Source organism: Homo sapiens, chromosome 1, assembly GCF_000001405.40.
Source record: "Homo sapiens chromosome 1, GRCh38.p14 Primary Assembly".
Classification (NCBI taxonomy): domain Eukaryota; kingdom Metazoa; phylum Chordata; class Mammalia; order Primates; family Hominidae; genus Homo; species Homo sapiens.
In genome coordinates this window covers 28,585,945-28,607,891 of record NC_000001.11, presented here as the reverse complement: position 1 = coordinate 28,607,891, position 21,947 = coordinate 28,585,945, and the positions used below count along the sequence as shown (strand labels likewise).

Genomic DNA, 21,947 nt, shown 5'->3' with positions numbered 1-21,947 from the left:
GTGGTGGGATTACAGGTGTGAATCATCGTGCCTGGCCCTTTTTGTTTTCTTTTGAGGCAGGATCTTCCTCTTCACCCAGGCTGCAGTGCAGTGGTGTGATTATGGCTCACTGCATCTTCTACCTCCTGGGCTCAAGTGATCCTCCTGCCTTAGACTCCCAAGTAGTTGGGACTACAGGTGCACACCACCACATACAGCTAAAAAAAAAAGTTTTCTTTTTGAGATGGAGTCTCGCTCTGTCACCTAGGCTAGAGTGCAGTGGTGCCGTCTCAGCTCACTGCAACCTCTGCCTCCCAGGTTCAAGTGATTCTCCTGCCTCAGCCTCCCAAGTAGCTGGGATTATAGGCACCTGCCACCATGCCTGACTAATTTTTTATATTTTTAGTAGACACCAGGTTTCACCATGTTGGCCAGACTGGTCTTGAGCTCCTGACTTCAGGTGATCCGCCCACTTTGGCCTCCCGAAGTGCTGGGATTACAGGCGTGACCCACCACTCCCGCCCAGCTAATATTTTTATTTCTAGTAACAATGCAGTCTCACTATTATGCCTACACTGGTCTTGAACTCCTGGGCTCAAGCAGTCTTCCCGTCTTGGCCTCCCAAAGTGCTGAGATTACAGGAATGAGCCACCACATCTGGCCAGTGTCACTTTCAAATACTAATAACATAAATTGTTAGCAGAAGGTTTCAGACATTCTGTTTTCAAAGAAATATTGGGCCAGGTGTTGTGGCTTATGCCTGTGATTTGCTAAAAGTGACGTACACCTTTATACATGAGTTTAGGGGGCCATGCCCCTATGCCAGTTACTGTCAAAGAGGAATAAACAAAGTCCCTGTCCTCTGGGAACTTCTTGTGATAACCTTATAAGGAAGATAATATCCAGGGGCACCAGGTCATGGAACTGTGGTGTGGACATACTTCTCTCTATATCCATACCTATATGTTTACCCTAGGCTCTGGGCTGAATACTTCACATGCCTTATGTCATTGAATGCCCCAACCACCCTGTCAGTGGTTATTACTGTTGTTACAGCTACATAAAAAATGAAGAAACTGGGAGCCAGCGTCATACAGCTGCTCAGTGAAGCAGCAGACCTCAGCTTTGGCTCTTAATTCCAGAATGCTTGAAGTGCCTTCATGTCCCTTAGGTGTGAGAGGGGTTACTTTGAGCCTTAGGATTAAGACAACTAAAGAAATAAATGATATTTATTTTCTGTGAATTGGATAAGCTGCATGGAAACCTTAGGTCTCAGCATTCACAGCTTTGACTAAATTACCTCTTTTTCTTTGCAAGAAGCTTGAATTTTGTCCTTTAGAAACCTTGGAGGAAGCCAGGCATGGTGACTGATGCCTGTAATACCAACACTTCGGGAGGCTGAGGCAGGAGGATGTGCTTGAGCCCAAAAGTTCAACATAACAAGACCCCCTCTCTACAAAAAATAGAAATATACAGCCAGGCGCAGTGGCTCACGCCTGTAATCCCAGCACTTCGGGAGGCTGAGGCAGGCAGATCACCTGAGGTCAAGAGGTTGAGACCAGCCTGGCTAACATGGTGAAACCCCGTTTCTACTAAAAATACAAAAAATTAGCTGAGGCCAGGTGCGATGTCTCACGCCTGTAATCCTAGAACTTTGGGAGTTCGAGGTGGGTGGATCACGAGGTCAGGAGTTCAAGACCAGCCTGACCGAGATGGTGAAACCCCATCTCTACTAAAAATACAAAAATTAGCCAGATGCAGTGGCAGATGCCTGGAATCCCAGCTACTCGGGAGTCTGAGGCAGGAGAATCGCTTGAACCCAGGTGGCAGAGGTTTCAGTGAGCCGAGATCGCACCACTGCACTCCAACTTGGGCAACAGAGTGAGACTCCATCTCCAAAAAATAAAAAATAAAAAAGCCAGGCATGGTGGCACACACCTGTAATCCCAGCTACTCAGGAGGCTGAGGCAGGAGAATTGCTTGAACCTGGCAAATGAGCCTGTGGCATATTCAATGTTGAAGCCTGAGAGATTGCAGTGAGTCGAGATTGCGCCATTGCACTCCAGCCTGGGCAACAGGAGCAAAATTCCGTCTTAAAGAAATATAAGAAATAAGAAATATTAGCTGGCCATGGTGGCATGCGCCTGTAGTCCCAGCTACTTGGGAGGCCAGGATGGGAATATCGCTTGTGCTGGGGTAGTCAAGGCTGTAGTGAGCCAAGATTGTGCCACTGCACCCCACTCTGGGTGACAGAGTGGGAAGACCCTGTCTCCAAAAAAAAAGAAAAAACCTTGGAGAAGCCATGTCCATTTTCCCTATTTGTAATAGAATCCCTTTGTGGAGTTAGTAGCCAGATGCCCACATTCATCCTCCCTGATCCAAGGGGGTCACATTGCACTCCTGGTACTGCCTTCTTGGTACGTTTATCTCTGTGCTGGCTTCTTCCTTGCAGAGCGCCAGTGGAACATGTGGATCCCAGGATTTGGCTCTGAAGAAATCCGACCCTACAAAAAAGCTTGCACCACAGAAGCTCACAAACAGGTGAGGAAATGCCAGAGCCCTGGGGACAGCCAGGGCTGATTCCTTGAGTTACGTCTCAGAGTGGATACACACAGCTACCTTCTAGGGGGCCTCGCTTCCTCCACACAGCAAACTTCACTCTCTGGAGCAAGGGTCAGAGAGGGCAAGAGGCAGCAGCGGTCTCCGGGAGATCAATAAGATATTCACATGGTGCTGTGCTGTTCCCACATGTGGTCTGTTTTTTCTCGTAACTCTGTTGAGTGTCACTTAAAGCTGTTGATTCTGGGTTCTTCTAATATGGATGCAGCTCGCCCCACCATACCTCCTTAATGAAATCTTCCTTCATTGTTGCTGATTGCAACACCATATATGGTCCTATGAAGAGAGGGCAGGTTAAAGAAAGCAAAAATGTGCTGTACTTGTTCTGAGAGGTAGTATCCAGGCTGCCGTGCTGGACATTCTGGCCTGTGTCCTGGTTTTACCTTTGAACAAGGTTCCCTCTGAACAAGGAACCTAGGAGTCAGTGTGAGAATACTACTTCTGCTGTGGAGCAAGTCATCCCCATCTTTGGTCAGTCCAACAGCAGTGTTGGCCTCCCTCTGACAAGGCTGTTATCCTTTCTGTCTTAACTTAAGTGGCTACTCTGATTTGAAACGTGAGCTTTTTCCAAGCTTAGCAGGCACAACTGGGCAGTCCTGGTTGAGTGCCCCTGCTTCGCCATAGCCTGGTATCTCTGGAGCCGGTGTTTGTAAAGCTCACGAAGCAAGCCCTAAAGGGAAGCCACCAGTTTCCTGAATGGAAAGATTGCACTGTTCAGAAGAGAGTCCCTGCAAACAATGGACTGTCACTTTGTGCTCCCAAGTTAACCATTTTCAGCCCTATTTATTTAGTCGACAAATGCCATAATATTGGTATTTGGTCAAAAAGAATGAACAAAGTAAGTTGTTAATTTGGCTAGTAGCTAGTAATAGTAAAAGAATTCAGATCATGAAACCTATGATCTGAGTGTTTCCATGATGGACTGTGGTAGAAGTTGTTAGTCTTCAGTTTCCCTTCAATGCAGGTCATGAGATGTGAAATGTCAGCTCCCTTTGTGTGTGGCAACACTTTGAAATTGAGGCCCCTTCCCTATTGTGTCCATCATTGGAGAAAAGATTGGGGTCAGGGGACCCCAGAAAACACATGCTTGGCCAGGCGCAGTGGCTCATGCCTGTAATCCTAGCACTTTGGGAGGCCGAGCCTGGTGGATCACTTGAGGTTAGGAGTTTGACACCAGCCCGGCCAATGTAGTGAAACCCTGTCTCTACTAAAAATACAAAAATTAGCCAGGCGTGGTGGCACGTGCCTGTAATCCCAGCTACTGGGGAGGCTGAGGCAGGAGAATCACTTGAACTTGGGAGGCAGAGGTTGCAGTGAGCCGAAATCATGCCACTGCACTCCAGCCTGGGCAACAGAGCGAGATTCCATCTCAAAAAAAAAAAAAAGAAAGAAAGAAAACACATGCTTTGCCAGCTTATTCTCTAAGTCACCAAAACTCAAGAGCTGTCACTTTCTCCTGCTTTTAACTTTTTTGCCATTCTGCTAGCCTAGAGCAGTTTGGTGGATGAAATGGGTCCACTAGCCCATCTAAACATCTCTTGGGGCCTTGCAGACTGCTCTCTGGTTAAAAGGAATCTACTGAGATGCCTTGTGACTGCAGGTCTCTGAGGGCTGCGGCCTACAGTGTAGACCATGAGGCCTGCTAGCCACACAGAATGTTCCAGAAAGCTCCTGACTCCAGCTGCTGCTGTATAACTGCTTATTTGTCTCTCCTTTCAGAGAATGGCATTGATCCGGAAAACAACCAAGAAATAACACACGGAAAGGTCAGGGAATGGACAGCAATGTATTTGGAGATACTTGAGCTGAGAACTCAGCCATCTCATCCTTGGATTTTTTTTTTTAATGCTTTACAGAGAAGCATATATTTTTTATTAACAGTGCAGCAATATCTATAATGACTGAGAGGATCTGCCAAAAGAATAAAGCCTCCTACCCCAACTTCCGGTCCCTTTTCCCTGCCATCTCAAAGAGGAGCAATGTATCTTCCAGAGAAGATTTTATTTGTGGTTTATTATATAAGTGACTGAATATGGGACAAAGCATTATGGTCTTTTTGGGTAAGACAGTATTAGCAGGATTTGTAAAGGGTTTTGTTTCCTTCTCCCTTCCCCTTTTCCCTGTACTTTGTAATGTCAGTGTTTATATGAATATGACTTTCATTTGCTTTTCCAGAATAAAGAAGTTATTAATCGAAAGACAGGGTACCTTTGAAATCCCAGAGGGAGTCAGGACAAGCAAGCCTGGATTGTAGCTCTCTAGTCAGCAGGTGGCAGCATCGTTATTCATTTTGGTGTTTGAGAAAAACTCAGGGATTTTCCATCATTTTACCCCAAGGGAGGCCATAACATCAGCAGGAGTTTGAGTCCAGCTTCTCGGCCATAAGAATTGAGTAGGGTGACCTTCTCTCACGGCCCTCAACTGAAGAGGCATCCTTGTTTTGGCAATGTTATATGCCTAAAAACCCTTTTTGGTTTTTTTTGTTTTTTTTTAATTTTTTTTTTTTTGAGACGGAGTCTAGCTCTGTCACCCAGGCTAGAGTGCAGTGATGTGATCTTGGCTCACTGCCACCTCAGCCTCCCAGGTTTAAGCGATTCTCCTGCCTCAGATTCCCAAGTAACTGGGGTTACAGGCGCCTGCCGCCACACCGAGATAATTTTTGTATTTTTAGTGGAGATGGGGTTTTCACTGTGTTGGTCAGACAGGTCTCGCACTCCCAAAGTGCTGAGATTACAAGCGTGAGCCACCGCGCCCGGCCTAAAAACCCTTTTTGACCTGCTCTTCTGGAACTCCTGGAGAAAGCTGTGTTTGTCCCTGTCCCTGAGAAAGGATGGGAGTAGGCCCCTGTCCTCAGGATAGGCATGTCTGTGCAGGTGCCCATCTCTTCTTAGTTGCTGTTATCTTTGATCCTGGTGTTTTCACCATCATGCAGAAGAAACCAGGCGCCTTCCAGACCTCTGGGTCATGTCCTTCAGTGGCACCTAGCATCATCCTGTCCTGGGCCCAGCATGGCCCTTGTGGATTGTGAGAGTTCTGTGGGCTCTAGGGAGGATGGCTGTCCTACCCAAGGGTCACTAGCACAGGCACAGCCACCTTGATTTGCTTTGGTCCTCTGCGTCCTGAAGCTTGGCCCAGGATGAGACCCTGCATTTCAAAATTCCCTCCCACCCTGAGTTAGATCCCATGTCCCCCCCACTTCACAGTCTCACAGATACACTGAGTGAGCTCCTCAGAGGCTGTGCTAATGTTACTGTTGCTCTTGGCTGAAGTTTCAATGCCCCAAAGAGGCAGCCAGCTTCTTTCCCTGTGGTGTCACCCAGTGCTCACCAACAGGTCACTCTTGTGGCCAACCATCAGGACGAGGATGCTGAAGGGTTTCACTTTCCCCAGAACCTCCTGATGCCAGTGGTGACACTCATAAAGGATATTCTGTTGGTGATACCAAACACCAAGGGGCCTCCAGCTGGGTTTCAGTAGTACGATGAGTCACTGACCTTGGCAGCCAAGGAATCTAGAATTAGTTTTGAGATCTCCACTAAGACAGAAGGGAACACAGGAATCGGGGAAGTTTAATGGAAAGAGCTGAGGTAGAATCAAAAGACCCCAGTTCTTGATTTGCAGTGTGACAAGTAAGTGGCGTCATCTATCTCAGTCTTGTCCTATCTGCATATTGAGGGACTTGTTCATTCACTCAGCAAGTATTTATAATCCCATGCCTGTCCTAAGCAGAGGGATACAATGATGAATAAAAACAGACCCAGGTGACCGGGCGCAGTGGCTCAAGCCTGTAATCTCAGCACTCTGGGAGGCCAAGGCAGGTGGATCACTTGAGGTCAGGAGTTCAAGATCAGCCTGGCCAACATGGCGAAACCGTCTCTACTAAAAATATAAAAAATTAGCCAGGCAGCTGAGGCAGGAGAATTGCTTGAACCTGGGAGGCGGAGGTTGTAGTGAGCCGAGATTGCACCACTGCACTCCAGACTGGGCGACAGAGGGAGACTCCATCTAAAAAAAAAAAAAGAGAGAGAGAGAGAGTCTCACTCTATCACCCAGGCTGGAATGAATGAAGTGATGCGATCTCGGCTCTTGCAACCTCCACCTCCCGGGTTCAAGCTATTCTTGTGTCTCAGCCTCCCAAGTAGCTGGGATTACAGGTGCGCCACTACATCCGACTAATTTTTGTATTTTTAGTAGAGACGGGGTTTTATAATGTTGGCCAGGGTGGCCTCTAACTCCTGACCTCAGGTGATTCTCCTACCTCTGCCTCCCAAAGTGCTGGGATTACAGGTGTGAGCCACCATGCCTGGCCTCCTTTTTTTTTAATTAATTTTTTAAAAACAGAGAGTTTTGCCATGTTGCCCCGGCTGGTCTCAAAATCCTGGGCTCAAGCAATCTGCTTACCGCTGCCTCGCAAAGTGCTGGGATTATAGGTGTGAGCCACTGTGCCCAGCCTATCCTGGCTTCTTATGAAGGTACGTGGAGCCCTCAGTTCAGTGCCCATGCCTTGGAGGCTGCTGTGTGTTGTGTGTGTGTTGCAGGCTGTAGTGTGGGAGGCCCAGCAGGCTGGTTCCAAGCTTTCCACTTTTCTTCAGTCTGCATAACATCTTTCTTAACTGTTGGACATTTTTAGGGCTCTGAGAAACATTCCGTCAGATGAGGATTCTAATGCTCAAAACAGATAAAAAGTTTTGAAAACCACTGCACACACACACACACACACACACACACATTAAAAAAAAACACACACACACACCACTGCAGAGCCTTTGGGAACCCCTGAAGTTTCAGATGAAGGAGTGGTGTAACTATGTTTGCATGTTAAAAGCCTCTCTGGCTGCCAGTGTGGAAGGTGGAATTGGAAGCAGGCAGGAGGGATACTAGCCGGAAGTTGCTACAGTTTTTTGGACTAAAGGTGATAAGATTTGAGTCCGGGTGTGGTGGCTCACACCTGTAATCCCAGCACTTTGGGAGGCCAGGGCAGGTGGATCACCTGAGGTCAGGAGTTCGAGACCAGCCTGGCCAACATAGCGAAACCTTGTTTCTACTAAAAATACAAAAATTAGCCGGGCGTGGTGGCATGTGCCTGTAATCTTAGCTACTCGGGAGGCTGAGGCAGGAGAATAGCAGGAACCCAGGAGGTGGAGGCTGCAGTGAGCCAAGATCATACCACTGCACCCCAGTCTGGGCGACAAGAGTGAGACTCCATCTAAAAAAAAAGACTTGAGACGTTTTCCCAAGAAGGAGTTAACCAAAAGACAGGGGCAGGGTCTGGCTGTAACAACAGGATGAGTTCCAAGGACACAGAAGGAGCCATCTGGGACCAGGGAGCCATCCTGGAAAGAATCCCCTGTGCCTGCATGGCGTGAAGCTGGGAGGAGGAAAGCAGAGTTAAGCTAGGGTCTTACAATTACCTGGAGTTACAAAAGAAGGGGCCTTCAGAGGTCATCCAATGTGGCCCTTATTTTACAGATAATGCTGAGATCTGGAGAGGTCGTGTGACCTGTCCAAGGTCACTAGGCAGGTCAGGACTCAGACCTGTGCCCTTAGTCCAGTGTCCATCCTTCTAAATGGCCTCCAAGGCCCCTTCTCTTGACCCCTCCCTTCCTGGTGGATGAGTTCTCTCCTTGGCCCTCAGGGTTGGGGTGGCACCACAGGCGCGTGCCATCACGCCCGGCTAATTTTTTATATTTTTTGGTAGAAACGGGGCTTCATGGTGTTAGCCAGGATGGTCTCGATCTCTTGACCTCGTGTTCCACCCGCCTCGGCCTCCCAAAGTGCTGGGATTACACGCGTGAGCCACCGCGCCCGGCCTATTATCCCCATTTTTAAATCACTGAGGCTTAGAAAGATAAAGTGAGTTAGTCAGGGTCCCACTGTTAGTGGAACTGAGATTCAAACCAGGTTTGACAGCAAAGCCTGTCCTATTTTTGGCAGCTGGGATAATGTGGTTAAAAGGAAGTGATGTCTACCTGAGTGTTGCAGGCAGATCAGATAACACAGGGAGAGAGAGAGAGCTGGGACTTTCCCGGCACAGAAAACAGCATATGCGAAGTCCAGAGCTGCACCTGGTTCAGAATTTGGCCGCCTGGGCCAGTGGTTAGAGATGATGCAGCTGGCTCCAGGTGATGAAAGGCTTGGATTAGAGCAAAAGGATTTGGATTTTATGCTGTAGGTGTGGGGCCATAGGAGGATTCTAGCAGGGAGGCGGCCAAGCCAAAACTGTCCTTTAAAAAGATCCCTCTGGGTCAGTGTGGATGCTGAATTACAGGAGAACCTAGAGGCCTGAGACTCAAAAGGAGTGGCACAATGTACACTGGTGCCTCTGCCTTTCCTGTAGCCTGGGCTCGCTCTGCTTGTGCAGGCACACACCCATCAAAGCCACTTACAGCCTCTCGAGATTTTGCCACACTGAGGGGGATAGTGAGGGTAGGACTGGAGCGCTGAAGTTTGAGAAAGGACCCACCCTGGGGCTGGCCTGAGGCAGTGGACAAGATTATTGGAGCTGGCCTGGGTTCATCACTTTAGCCACATGAGTTTTCTGTCTTGGAGCTGAGGTCTGTGAAATGGACAAGATCAGCCCAACCTCACGGGGTTGCTGTGGGTTTAATAATAAGCCTCTGGTAGGGCCGGGCACGGTGGCTCACACCTGTAATCCCAGCACTTTGGGAGGCCGAGGCGGGCGGATCACGAGGTCAGAAGATTGAGACCATCCTGGCTAACATGGTGAAACCCCATCTCTACTAAAAATACAAAAAATTAGCTGGGCGTGGTGGCACGCACCTTTAGTCCCAGCTACTCAGGAGGTTGAAGCAGGAGAATCGCTTGAACCCCGGAGGCAGAGGTTGCAGTGAGCCGAGATTGCGCCACTGCACTCCAGCCTGGGTGACAGAGCAAGACTCCGCCTCAAAATAATAATAATAATAAGCCTCTGACGGACCAGGCACTTTGGGAGTGGCTCATGCCTGTAATTCCAGCACTTAGGGAGGCCAAGGCAGGTGGATAACATGAAGTCAGGAGTTCAAGTCCGGGCTGACCAACATGCAGAAACCCCATCTCTACTAAAAATATAAAATTAGCCAGGTGTGGTGGCGCATGCCTATAATCCCAGCAACTAGGGAGGCTGAGGCAGGAGGATCGCTTGAACCTGGGAGGCGGAGGTTGCAGTGAGCAGAGATCGTGCCATTGCACTCCAGCCTGGGCAACAAGAGTGAAACTCTGTCTCAAAAAAAAAAAAAATTGATGAAGCATCTGGGCGCAGTGGTTCACGCCTGTAATCCCAGCACTTTGGGAGGCCAAGGCGGGTGGATCACCTGAGGTTGGGAGTTCGAGACCAGCCTGGCCAACATGGTGAAACCCTGTCTCTACTGAAAATACAAAAGTTAGCCTGGTGTGGTGGCACACACCTGTAGTCCCATCTTCTTGGGAGGCTGAGGCGGGTGGATCACGAGGTCAGAAGATCGAGACCATCCTGGCTAACATGGTGAAACCCCATCTCTACTAAAAATACAAAAAATTATCTGGGCGTGGTGGCGTGCGCCTGTAGTCCCAGCTACTCAGGAGGTTGAGGCAGGAGAATCGCTTGAACCCAGGAGGCAGAGGTTGCAGTGAGCCGAGATTGCGCCACTGCACTCCAGCCTGGGTGACAGAGCAAGACTCCACCTCAAAGTAATAATAATAAGCCTCTGACGGACCAGGCACGGTGGCTCATGCCTGTAATCCCAGCACTTTGGGAGGCCGAGGCAGGCAGAGTACCTCAGTTCGGGAGTTCGAGACCAGCCTGGCCAACATGGTGAAACACTGAAAATACAAAAGTTAGCCTGGTGTGGTGACACACACCTGTAGTCCCAGCTTCTTGGGAGGCTGAGGCAGGAGAATCGTTTGAACCCAGGAGGCAGAGATTGCAGTGAGACGAAATCGCCCCACTGCACTCCAGCCTGGGCGACAGAGCAAGACTCTGTCTCAAAAAAAAAGAAAGAAAATTGATGAAGGAGACCAGGTACAGTGGCTCACACCTGTAATCCCAGCACTTTGGGAGGCTGAGGCAGGAGGATTGATTGAGGCCAGGAGTGTGAGACCAGCCTGGGCAACATAGTGAGACCCTGTCTCTGCAAATAATTTAAAAGTTAGCTTTGTGAAGTGCACCTGTAGTCCCAGCTACTTGGGAAGCTGAGGTGGGAGGATCACTTGAGCCCAGGAGGTCGACATTGCAGTGAGGTGTGATTGCATCACTGCACTCCAGCCTGGGCAACAGAGCGAGACCCTGTATCTAAGGAAAAAAAAAAAAAAACGATGAAGGAATGAAAAGATACCCTAAAGCAAGTAATTTTCCTCTCCTGGCCCCAGCTTTCTTATCTGTGAAATGGGGATGATTGTGCCAACCTCACCACGTCACAAGGATGAATAAGGATGTTTAAAAAGAAGAGGCAGGTCATGTGCAACAACATGGATGGAACTGGAATTATAAGTGAAAAAAGCCAGGCACAGAAAGACAAACTTTTTACATTCTCACTTACTTATGGGAGCTAACAATTAAAACAATTGAACTCATGGAGATAGAGTAGAATGATGGTGACCAGAGGCTGGGAAGGGTAGTGGTGGGGGGAAGTGGGTATGGCTAATGAGTACAAAAACATAGTTTTTATTTTTATTTTATTTTTATTTATTTGTTTTTTGAGATGGAGTCTCGCTCTATCGCCCAGGCTGGAGTGCGGTGGCACGGTGTCAGCTCGCTGCAGCCTCTGCCTCCCAGGTTCCAGTGATTCTCCTGCCTCAGACTCCGCGGTAGCTGGGATTACAGGTACATGCCACCATGTCCAGCTAATTTTTGTGTTTTTAGTAGAGACAGGGTTTCACCAATGTTGGCCAGGCTGGTCTCGAACTCCTGACTTCAGGTGATCCGCCCACCTCGGCACTCAGAGTGCTGGGATTACAGGCGTGAGCCACCACATCCAGCCAAAAATGCAGTTAAATAGAATGAATAAGATTTAACATTTGATAGCACAACAGGGTGACTACAGTCAACAGTAATTTATTGTACATTTAGAAATAAAAACGTATAACTGGATTGTTTGTAATACAAATAAAATATAAATGTCTGAGGTAATGGATATTCCCCACCCCCCACAAAATAAAACAGGTGAATTTTTATGGGTTTAAAAAAAAAAAGAGGCAGGACCAAGTGCACAGGAAGACCCCTCAGCCCCCTCTCCATGGGGAGGAAGCTAAGAAACTCATTCTGAAAACCTTCTAAGAACCCTAGGAGGGAGGGATTATCAGTCTCATGTTACTGACTGAGGAGGAAACCAAGGCTCAAGGAGGCCAAGTAACTAGCTCAAGGTCACAAAAGAGAGTTAAGTGACTATGCTTTTTTCTTTTTTTATGAGACGGAGTGTTGCTCTGCCACCCAAGTTAGAGGGCTGGAGTGCAGTGGCGGGATCGTGGCTCGCTGCAACCTCTGCCTCCTGGGCTCAAGCAATTCTCATGCTTCAGCCTCCTAAGTGCTGGGATTACAGGCATGAGCCACCACACCCAGCTAATTTTTGTATTTTTAGTATAGACAGGGTTTCGCCGTGTTGGCCATACTGGTCTCGAACTCCCAACCTCAAGTGAACTGCCTGCCTAGGCCTCCGAAAGTGCTGGGATTACAGGCGTGAGCCACTGCACCCAGCAAAGTGGCTGTGCTTTTTGCTACAGCACAATGATACCCACTAAGCCCTACACCTGCTGAGATTCGGCCTAACATAAACAGTGTCTCTTCCATGAAGCCTTCCCTAATTGCTCCCAGGACATTCCCTGCCTAGCAGTTCCCATCATAGGTTAGGTTACCAGGAGGCAGATTCTGAGATGGAGATGAGTGTGCAGATGTTTATTAGGGGATATTCTTGAAATGGATACCTGTTTGGGGAAGAAAAGGAAGCAGGATTGGGCAAGGGGATAACTTGGCTATGATGTCACAACAGTGTCCTCAATGAAGCCCACAGAGACTGATAAAGTTGGTTTTGACTTTCAGAGTTGTCCAGAGCTGGGGCAAGAGGGAGTCCTTTAAGGCCCCCCAGGAGATGAACTTTGGATACAAGCTGCCCTGAAGGGAGGGCCTTTCCCAGAGAGTGGGGCAAGCTGAAGTCCATCATCCAGTGGCACTCCAGCAGCTGGGGAGAGGGTTGATGGGTTCCCCAGCCAGAAAGGGGGATCTTGGTGGCTCATCACAGTGGCCACTGTGTGCCCAACATAGTTGCTACACATTCATGTTCATCCCAGCCTCCAACATCCATTTTTCAGCCCCTGGGCCTGGTCGGGGGGGCATTGGCCAGCAACCCTGGGTTTGACGTCACATATTAATCCCATGCCCAGAATCATTTTAGCCTGAGGACATAAGAAGCCTCCAAGCCAAGCTCCCCCTGGAATTCCCCGCACCTGCCTTTGCCCATGCATCAGCTTCCTGACGCTGGCTTCTCAGTGTCTGAGCCCAGGAATGCTGCCAGAGTGGCCACATCGCAGCCAAGAAAAAGGGAGTGGGAATGAGAGCTTTTGTCATTCAATTCACAGCGCGGCAGGCTCTGGGTGAGCACATCCTGTCCACTGTCTCATTTGTGGTCACCACCTCCCTTCAAGGTGGGATCTTTTATGAGCCCCATCGATAGATAGGGACACTGAGGCTCAAGGACAGGAAGTTGCACATCTGGTCTCTCAGGCCTTTCTTTTCTTTTCTTTTTTTTTTTTGAAACAGAGTCTCACTCTGTTGCCCAGGCTGGAGTGCAGTGGCGCAGTCTTGGCTCACTGCAATCTCTGCCTCCCAGGTTCAAGCAATTCTCCTGCCTTAGCCTCTGGAGTAACTGGGATTACAGGCATGCACCACCACGCCTGGCTAATTTTTGTATTTTTAGTAGAGACAGGGTTTCACCATGTTGGCCAGGCTGGTCTCGAACCCCTGACCTCAGGTGATCCACTGTCCTTGGCCTCCAAAAATGCTAGGATTACAGGCGTGAGCCACCATGCCTGGCCATCAGAACTTTCTTTTCTGTAGAAAGCCTCGACTCCAAAATCCAGGAAGCATGACTGTGTCAGGATACTGTTTATATGAACCCTTCTGTCATTTGTCCTCCAGAGAGATATTAACACTCCCCATCCCACCAGGTGGGCTAAGGCTGGGACTGCTTTAACCCTTTCTCTCCTAGAGTCAACACTGGCATGGGCCTGAGTGCTGCTTCCTGCTGGGGGACCTGGGGATTTGGGTCTTGTGGATGAGCCGGACACCCCCCCAGCCCTCTTCTAGCTTGATGTCCCCCTGCTGCAGGGCCTGCTGGATAGCATCAGCGAGGGTGTCAAAGGCCAGGTCCACATTGCAGTTGTTTTTAACCGAGGTCTCCACGAAGGCCATGCCCAGGGAGGCAGCTAGCTCCTCGGCCTCCTGGGCTGAGACACAGCGGGTGCTCTGCAGGTCACTCTTGTGGCCAACCAGCAGGAAGATGACCTTGTCCGGGCCCTGAGTGGCCATGACCTCCTGGTGCCAGTCTTGGATGTGTTCAAAGGACTTCCTGTTTGTCACATCAAAGACCAGCAGGACACCCACCACATTCCGGTAAAAGGACCTGGTGATGCACCTGGGGAGGCAGGGAGGTGGAAAGGTAAGCTGGGAGAGGCTGATGCCTCCATGACACCCCCAGAGGCAGGACCTCCTCCCCCTGGGATCCACAGAATGCCTCACACCCCAACAGGGCTCACTTCACACGGCCCCGTGGTTCTCTGCCTCGGTGTCTGTGTCTCTCCTAACAGTCTGGGTGCTGGCCGGGTGCGGTGGCTCACGCCTGTAATCCCAGCACTTTGGGAGGCCGAGGCGGGTGGATGTGGATCACGAGATCAGGAGATCCAGACCATCCTGACTAACACGGTGAAACCCCGTGTCTCTACTGAAAATACAAAAAAATTAGCCGGGCGTGGTGGCGGGCGCCTGTAGTCCCAGCTACTTGGGAGGCTGAGGCAGGAGAATGGCGTGAACCCAGGAGGCGGAGCTTGCAGTGAGCCAAGATCGCACCACTGCACCCCAGCCTGGGCGACAGAGAGAGACTCCGTCTCAAAAAAAAAAAAGAAAAGAAAAAAGTCTGGGTGCTCCAGTTAGGGAGCAAGCGTGACTTGAATCCCTCATTCTTGGAGAAGGCCTGGTGCTGCCCTGACCTAGGTCTTCGTTCCTCTGTTCTCTTCCTGGCAAACTCCTGCTGATCCTCTCTCCCTTCCACATCTCCTCGACACTTCCCGCTCTGTTCCCCTGAGCTCTCAGCACCCGGGGCCAGTATCACTCAGCATCTCTCCAGAGTCCAGAGCTCAAAGCCAGGGATGTTCCTGGTCTCTGGGACTCGACCCACCCCGCAGTGTTCGTGGGAAAAATGACTCCGAGCAGGGGAGGTTCTGGCCCCAGTGGACCGGGCGGGACCCAGGGCAGGGACCTCGCCCTCCGCCTGACCTCTGAGTTGGCCTCTCGGGAGTTGCCGTGGCCTAAAGCACGCTCACCGAGCCCCCCACCAGAAGTCCCTCCCGCGCCCCGGCTACCCGCACCTGAAGCGCTCGTGGCCCGCGGTGTCCCAGAGTTGCAGCTTGACCCGCGGCCCGGCCCGCAGCTGCAGCGCGCGGCGGTAGCACTCGGCGCCCACCGTGGGCTCGGGCTCGGGCTCCGGCTCCGGGGCGCCAGGCGCGCCTGCCACGTAGCTCCGCAGCAGCGACGTCTTGCCCACCGCCGCGTCCCCCAGCAGCGCGACCCGAAATTGGTAGCGGCAGCCCTCGGCCTCCATGGCCGCGTCCGCCACCCCGCCGCCCCGCGGCGGTTTTGTCCGCGCCCCGACCCCGCCCCTGCCCGGGGCCCCGCCGGCGCCGCCCCCCGCTCCCCGCGCCCAGCCACCGTACCCGGCGGGGCACCGAGGGCGTCGGACCGAGTGGAAACTCCTGGCCAAGTTTCTCTCTCTCGAAGCCTCAATTCTCTCCTCTGTAAAAGGGGGCTAATGATGACCCCTACTTCACAGGATAAAGGGACTAAACTAGATGAAGTGAGGAGGGGCATGGGGAGGAGACTAACAGCGCTGAAGCATCCACCTCACTCATTTCTTAATCTCCAGCCCCACCCCCTTACCCGCTCCACACCGCTCCCCCGCCCCACCCCCCGCCTCCTCTGTGGGTTCCCTAGTTGGCGCCCAACCCTCTGCTGGACCCGGGAAGGCCACTCTGGAAGTGAGTGGTTAGTAGATGCTCCCTCTCCACCCAGAAGCCCTTTCCTGGAGCCCTCATTAGCCCCGGCCTGGGGCCTCTAGTTCAGTGTTCAGGTTCAACGTTCAACAGCCCCCACGGCTTCCTCTAATGCCTGTCTGAGTTGGACACCAGGGCCCCAGAAGGAACTTGGGCACAGTCTGGTTGAGGAGGCAGGACAGACACAGACAACTGCAGTTCTAAAGGGAGTGCAGTTGGCCTGTGGATTCGACAACTAACATGTATGAGGCCAACGGTCAGTTCATGTTTTGTGGACAGCAACCCTTTGACAGGGCCATGGGAGTGCCCCTCTTAGAGCTGAGGAGACTGAGGCTCAGAGGCACGGCTTGTCTCAGGTCACACAGCAGAGTTGGGACTCACATCCAGGTTTGTCTCATCCTTCATCACCCCTTCGATGCCACAAAAGGGGACAAAGCAGGTCCCACAAGCACTAAGACACTGGTTGAGTTTTGCTTGGGTGAGGGGCTAGGGTGAGGCAGCACATGAGCCTCCAAGGTTTACTCCACCCTTTCCAGGCTGGCCTTCTGGAAACCCAGGGCACTGAGGCTGGAGTTCCAGTTGCTCCAGCCAACTCTAGTCTCTCTAGTCTCGTTTTTATTTATTTACTTATTTTTGAGATGGAGTCTCACTCTGTCGCCCAGGCTAGAGTGCAGTGGCACAATCTCGGCTCACTGCAACCTCCACCTCCTGGGTCCAAGCCATCCTCCCAACTCAGCCTCCCAAGTAGCTGGGATTATAGGCACCTACCACCACGCCCAGCTAATTTTTGTATTTTTAGTAGAGACGGGGTTTCACCATGTTAGCCAAGGTGGTCTCAAACTCCTGACCTCAAGTGATCCGCCCGCCTCCATCTCCCAAAGTGCTGGGATGCTGGGATTACAGGTGTGAACCTGTACCACGTCTGGCCCACATGCACTTCTGACCATCTCTGATGTCAGTCTCTCTCCCAGGCTGCAGGCTCCTTGAGGGCAGGGGCTGATGATTGTATCCTCAGGGCCTAACTCAGCGCTTGGCATAAAGTAGAAACTCAAGGCGCAGTGGCTCACACCTGTGATCCCAGCACATTTGGAGGCTGAGGGTGGATCACTTCAGGTCAGGAGTTCGAGACCAGCTGGCCAACATGGTGAAACCCCGTTTTTACTAAAAATACAAAAATTAGTCGGGCATGGTGGCACGTGCTTATAATCCCAGCTACTTGGGAGGCTGAGGCAGGAGAATCGCTTGAACCCGGGAGGTGGAGGATGCAGTGAGCCAAGATTGCGCCACCGCACTCCAGCCTGGGTGACAGAACGAGACTCCGTCTCAAAAAAAAATAATAATAAACAAAGTAGAAGCTCAGTAAATATTTATAGCTAGATGAATTAATGAAAGTGGGTAAGTGCTGTTCATTCACCCATCCATTCATTCCGTCAAACACCATGATAGAGCTGGACTTGGGAAGCCAAAGGGTCAGAGAAGCCCATCCCAGCTGATGTTGAAGCTGAGTCTCCAAGGATAAGTGGGATCTGGGAAGGTCAAGGAGAAAGGAGAATCCAGAGAGGCATGAAGCAGCTGGAAATGCAGTCTGACCCCAGCCCTCCCTGAGGCCTTTCCAGTCAGCCCACGTGGGCAATGCACTGTCAGCATCTGGCTTCTTGAACTTCCTCCCTTTCCCAGATGCTCCTGCTGTGGGCTGGGATCATGTGTCTGCCTCTGACTGCAGTTAAATCCAGATGTCAGCTGACTTCTGCCATGACTTCTGCCACAGATTCACTGTGTAACCTGGGGTAAGTTATTTCCCTTCCCTGATCCCTGCTTCCTCTTCTGCTAAGTCAGGCAAATCACGGTACCTAATCTCACAGGGTAGTTCTGGAGGAGCCGCGTGACACAGCAGTTAAGGTTATCTGCACTTGCATTAGAACATATCTGGGTTGGGTTGGGCGCGGTGGCTCACGCCTGTAATCCCAGCACTTTGGGAGGCTGAGGTAGGCAGATCAGGAGGTCACGACTATCCTGGCCAACATGGTGAAACCCCGTCTCTACTAAAAATATAAAAATTAACTGGGCGTGATGGCACGCGCCTGTAGTCCCAGCTACTTGGGAGGCTGAGGCAGGAGAATCACTTGAATCCGGGAGGCAGAGGTTGCAGTGAGCCTAGATTGCACCATTACACTTCGGATACTCCATCACACACACACAAAAAACAGACCTGGGTTGTAGTTCCAACGGCCACTTACTGGGAAGAGAGAGACCCTGTGTAGAGGTGTTGGACTCAGTTTATTCTAGTAGGCCCAACCTCCGAGACCACCCTTAAACATCAGTAGACTGGGAGCTGTACGTGGATGGAAGCAGCTTCGCCAACCCCTGCAAAGTGACTCTGAAGAAGATGGCAAGCCCTGTTCCAGTCACACCCGGAAGCTGACTGGTCCACGCGCGGCCAAAGCATGAGGAAACTCATCGCGGGACTCATTTTCCTTAAAATCTGGACTTGTACAGTAAGGACTTCAACTGACCTTCTTCAGACTGAGGGCTGTTCCCAGTATATACATCAGGTCACTGAGGTAGGACAAAAGAGTGCTACAGCCCTATTATTTTATAGTTTTTATGAATGCCTAGGAACTCCAAAAGGAACCTGTTCGTACAATAACATTCAGTACAAAGTATGTAATCCAGGAAGTGACCAGTCCGATGTGTGCTATGACCCCTCTGAACCTCCCATGATCACAGTCTTTGAAGTAAGACTAAGGACTGGTCCTTTTCTAGGTGACACAAGTGAAGTAATAGCTAGGACAGAAGAAAGAGGGGTCCCCAAAAATGTAACCTTAAAATTTGACGCCTGTGCCGCTATTAATAGTAAACAGCATGGGATAGGATGCGGTTCTCTAGATTGGGAAAAAAGTTACACAGCAGAAAATAAGTACATTTGTCAAAAATCATATTTATGTGAGATGTGTCAATACTGGTCTTGTGTCATTTGGGCTACTTGGAAAGAAGATTTAAAAAGATCCTGTTTGGCTCCAAAAAGGAAAAATCAGCCCCTCCTGCATGAGTGGGAGCTGCAACCCTTTAGAATTGATAATCACAAACCCCTCAGACCCAAAGTAGAATAAAGGAAAATATGTAACATTAGGCATTGATGGAAAAGGACTAGATCCTAGTGTAAGCATCCTAATAAAAGGAGAGGTTCAAAGACGCTCTCCAGAACCAGTATTTCAGACTTTCTATGATAAATTAAATGTGCCAGTATCTGAGATTCCAGGAAAAACTAAAAATTTGTTTTTGAAATTAGCCGAGCATGTAGCCCAGTCTCTAAATGTCACTTCATGTTATGTTTGTAGAAGAACCGTAACAGGAGATCAATGGCCATGGGAAGCCCGAGAATTAGTTCCCACAGGCCCAGTTCCTGATGAATTCCCAGCCCAAAAGAACCACCCTGACAATTTTTGGGTTCTGAAAGTCTCAATTATTGGACAGTATTGCATAGCTAGAGAAGGAAAAGGATTCACTCATCCTGTAAGACGGCTTAGTTGTCTTAGGCAAAAGCTGTATAATGGTACCACAAAAACAGTTACATGGTGGAATTCCAATTACACAGAAAGAAATCCATTCAGTAAATTTCCAAAGTTGCAGACTGTTTGGGCCCACCCAGAATTCCACTGGGACTGGATGGCCCCCACCAGGTTATACTGGATATGTGGACACAGAGCTTATGCTAAGCTGCCTGATCAGTGGACAGGTAGCTGTGTAATTAGCACCATTAAGCCATCTTTCTTCTTACTGCCCATAAAAACAGGTGAACTTCTAGGCTTCCCAGTCTATGCTTCCCACGAAAAACGAAGCATAGCCATAGGTGATTAGAAAAATAATGAATGGCCCCCTGAAAGAATCGTACAATACTATAGACCCGCCACTTAGGCACAAGATGGCTCATGAGGATATCGAACCCCCATCTGCATGCTCAACCGAATCACACGGTTGCAAGCTGTTTTAGAAATTATTACTAATAAAACCAGTCAAGCCTTGACTGTTCTTGCCTGGCAAGAGACTCTGATGAGAAATGCGATCTATCAAAATAGACTAGCTCTTGACTACTTGCTAGCAGCTGAAGGAGGAATTTGTAGAAAATTTAACCTTATTGGCTGGGCGCGGTGGCTCACGCCTGTAATCCCAGCACTTTGGGAGGCCGAGGTGGGCAGATCACGAGGTCAGGAGATCAAGACCATCCTGGCTAACACAGTGAAACCCCGTCTCTTAAAAAAAAAAAAAAAAAAAGAAAATTTAACTTTACTAATTGTTGTCTACACATAGATGATCAGGGGCAAGTAGTTGAGGACATAGTTAAAGACATAACAAAACTGGCACATGTACCCGTGCAAGTGTAGCACGGATTCAACCCTGAAGCCATGTTTAGAAGGTGGTTCCCAGCACTAGGAAGATTTAAAACTCTTATAATAGGAGTTATAATAGCAATAAAAACCTGCTTACTGCTCCCTTGTTTGCTACCTGTACTTCTTTAAATGATAAAAAGCTTCATTGCTACCTTAGTTCACCAAAATGCTTCAGCACAAGTGTACTATATGAATCACTATCTATCTGTTGCACAAAAAGACATAAGTAGCAAAAATAAGAGTGAGTACTCCCACTAATAAAAAGTGAGAGTCTCAAAGGGGGAAAATGAGGGAAGAGAGAGACCCTCTCATATTGTTTTATATTGTTTTATACTCAGTACCTGTTTTTTAAAAAAAAAAAAAAGGAAATGAAACAAAGACAGGCAGCCCAGCGCCAGGCCCAAAACCGGACCTGGGCCTGCCTGGCCTAAACCTAGTAGTTAAAAATCAACTTATGACTTAGAAACCGATGTTATTCATAGATTCCAGACATTGTATAGAAGAACATTGTGAAACTGCCTACCCTGTTCTGTTTCTCTCTGACGACCGGTGCATGCAGCCCTTGTCACGTACCCCTTGCTTGCTCAAATCAATCATGACCCTTTCATGTGAAATCTTCAGTGTTGTGAGCCCTTAAAAGGGACAGAAATTGTGCATTTGGGGAGCTCGGATTTTAAGGCAGTAGTTTGCCGATGCTCCCAGCTGAATAAAGCCCCTCCTTCTACAACTCGGTGTCTGAGAGGTTTTTTCTGCGGCTCGTCCTGCTACAGTGTGACCTCAGCCAAGTTTTATTCATTCATTCATTCACTTGGTGATTTTTTTTTTTTTTTTTTGAGATAGAATCTCACTCTATTGCCCAGGGTGGAGTGCAGTGGCACAATCTCGGCTCACTGCAACCTCCGCCGAGGTTGAAGCGATTCTCCTGCCTCAGTGTCCCGTGTAGCTGGGAGGCGCGTGCCACCATGCCTGGCTAATTTTTTTAATTAATTTTTTTATTTTATTTTATTTTTCCAAGATGGAGTCTCCCTCTGTTACCCAGGCTGGAATGCAGTGGCACAATCTTGGCTCACTGCAAGCTCCGCCTCCCAGGTTCACACCATTCTCCTGCCTCAGCCTCCCGAGTAGCTGGGACTACAGGCGCCAGCCACCATGCCTGGCTAATGTTTTGCATTTTTAGTAGAGACGGGGTTTCACCGTGTTAGCCAGGATGGTCTCAATCTCCTGACCTCGTGAATGTCACATGCGTCTGTGTGAAGAGACCACCAAACAGACTTTGTGTGAGCAACAAGGCTGTTTATTTCACCTGGGTGCAGGCGGGCTGAGTCCGAAAAGAGAGTCAGCAAAGTGTGGTGGGATTATCATTAGTTCTTACAGGTTTTGGGATAGCTGGAGTTTGGAGCAATGTTTTCTGGGCAGGGGGTGGATCTCACAAAGTACATTCTTGAGGGTGGGGAGAATTACAAAGAACCTTCTTAAGCATAGGGGAGATTACAAAGTACATTGATCAGTTAGGGTGGGCAGAAACAAATCACAATGGTGGAATGTCATCAGTTAAGGCTATTTTCACTTCTTTTGTGGATCTTCAGTTGCTTCAGGCCATCTGGATGTATATGTGCAGGTCACAGTGGATATGATGGCTTAGCTTGGGCTCAGAGGCCTGATGGTGATCCGCCCACCTTGGCCTCCCAAAGTGCTGGGATTACAGGCCTGAGCCACTGCGCCCAGCCTGTT

The 21,947-nt window shown here is 49.6% G+C and overlaps 2 protein-coding genes across 9 annotated transcripts in view, besides 4 other annotated features; one reads left to right on the top strand and one right to left on the bottom strand.

Moving 5' to 3' along the window:
* The window catches only part of TAF12 (TATA-box binding protein associated factor 12), a 45,420-nt gene extending 40,378 nt beyond the window's left edge, over positions 1–5,042 (top strand). For 4 of the 5 annotated variants that reach the window (XM_017002186.2, NM_005644.4, XM_024449368.2 and 1 more), the window contains exons 5-6: positions 2,432–2,520; positions 4,318–5,042. In XM_017002186.2, the coding sequence (XP_016857675.2) occupies positions 2,432–2,520; positions 4,318–4,353 (125 nt within the window). In that variant the 3' untranslated portion in view covers positions 4,354–5,042. The remainder of the gene's footprint in view (positions 1–2,431; positions 2,521–4,317) is intronic. The other variant, NM_001410769.1, reaches the window with a different exon arrangement.
* Positions 4,953–5,453: an enhancer, noted in NCBI's record as "H3K27ac hESC enhancer chr1:28928951-28929451 (GRCh37/hg19 assembly coordinates)". NCBI's record gives its function as "activates a minimal SCP1, AML or CMV promoter by ChIP-STARR-seq in naive H9 embryonic stem cells {active_cell/tissue: H9 hESC(naive)}" and the evidence as "EXISTENCE:reporter gene assay evidence [ECO:0000049][PMID:30033119]".
* Positions 8,238–8,819: an enhancer, noted in NCBI's record as "H3K27ac-H3K4me1 hESC enhancer chr1:28925585-28926166 (GRCh37/hg19 assembly coordinates)". NCBI's record gives its function as "activates a minimal SCP1, AML or CMV promoter by ChIP-STARR-seq in naive H9 embryonic stem cells {active_cell/tissue: H9 hESC(naive)}" and the evidence as "EXISTENCE:reporter gene assay evidence [ECO:0000049][PMID:30033119]".
* RAB42 (RAB42, member RAS oncogene family) lies at positions 11,226–15,627 on the bottom strand. Of its 4 annotated transcripts, none has more exons than NM_001385188.1 (2): positions 15,148–15,627; positions 11,226–11,518 (listed from the first exon to the last, which is right to left on the bottom strand). In NM_001385188.1, exons 1-2 carry the CDS (start codon positions 15,378–15,380, stop codon positions 11,431–11,433), a joined length of 321 nt encoding a protein of 106 aa, NP_001372117.1. In that variant the 5' UTR covers positions 15,381–15,627; the 3' UTR covers positions 11,226–11,430. The 4 variants fall into 4 exon arrangements, with proteins under 4 accessions (NP_001372117.1, NP_001180461.1, NP_689517.1 ...); NM_001193532.3 differs by lacking the exon at positions 11,226–11,518 and adding an exon at positions 12,443–14,198; NM_152304.3 differs by lacking the exon at positions 11,226–11,518 and adding an exon at positions 12,443–14,198 and having other exon boundaries at positions 15,493–15,627.
* Positions 13,899–14,635: an enhancer, noted in NCBI's record as "H3K4me1 hESC enhancer chr1:28919769-28920505 (GRCh37/hg19 assembly coordinates)". NCBI's record gives its function as "activates a minimal SCP1, AML or CMV promoter by ChIP-STARR-seq in naive H9 embryonic stem cells {active_cell/tissue: H9 hESC(naive)}" and the evidence as "EXISTENCE:reporter gene assay evidence [ECO:0000049][PMID:30033119]".
* Positions 15,417–15,486: a silencer, noted in NCBI's record as "silent region_544". NCBI's record gives its function as "represses an Ori minimal core promoter by ATAC-STARR-seq in GM12878 lymphoblastoid cells {active_cell/tissue: GM12878}" and the evidence as "EXISTENCE:reporter gene assay evidence [ECO:0000049][PMID:35858748]".
* Positions 15,628–21,947: the final 6,320 nt, after the last annotated feature.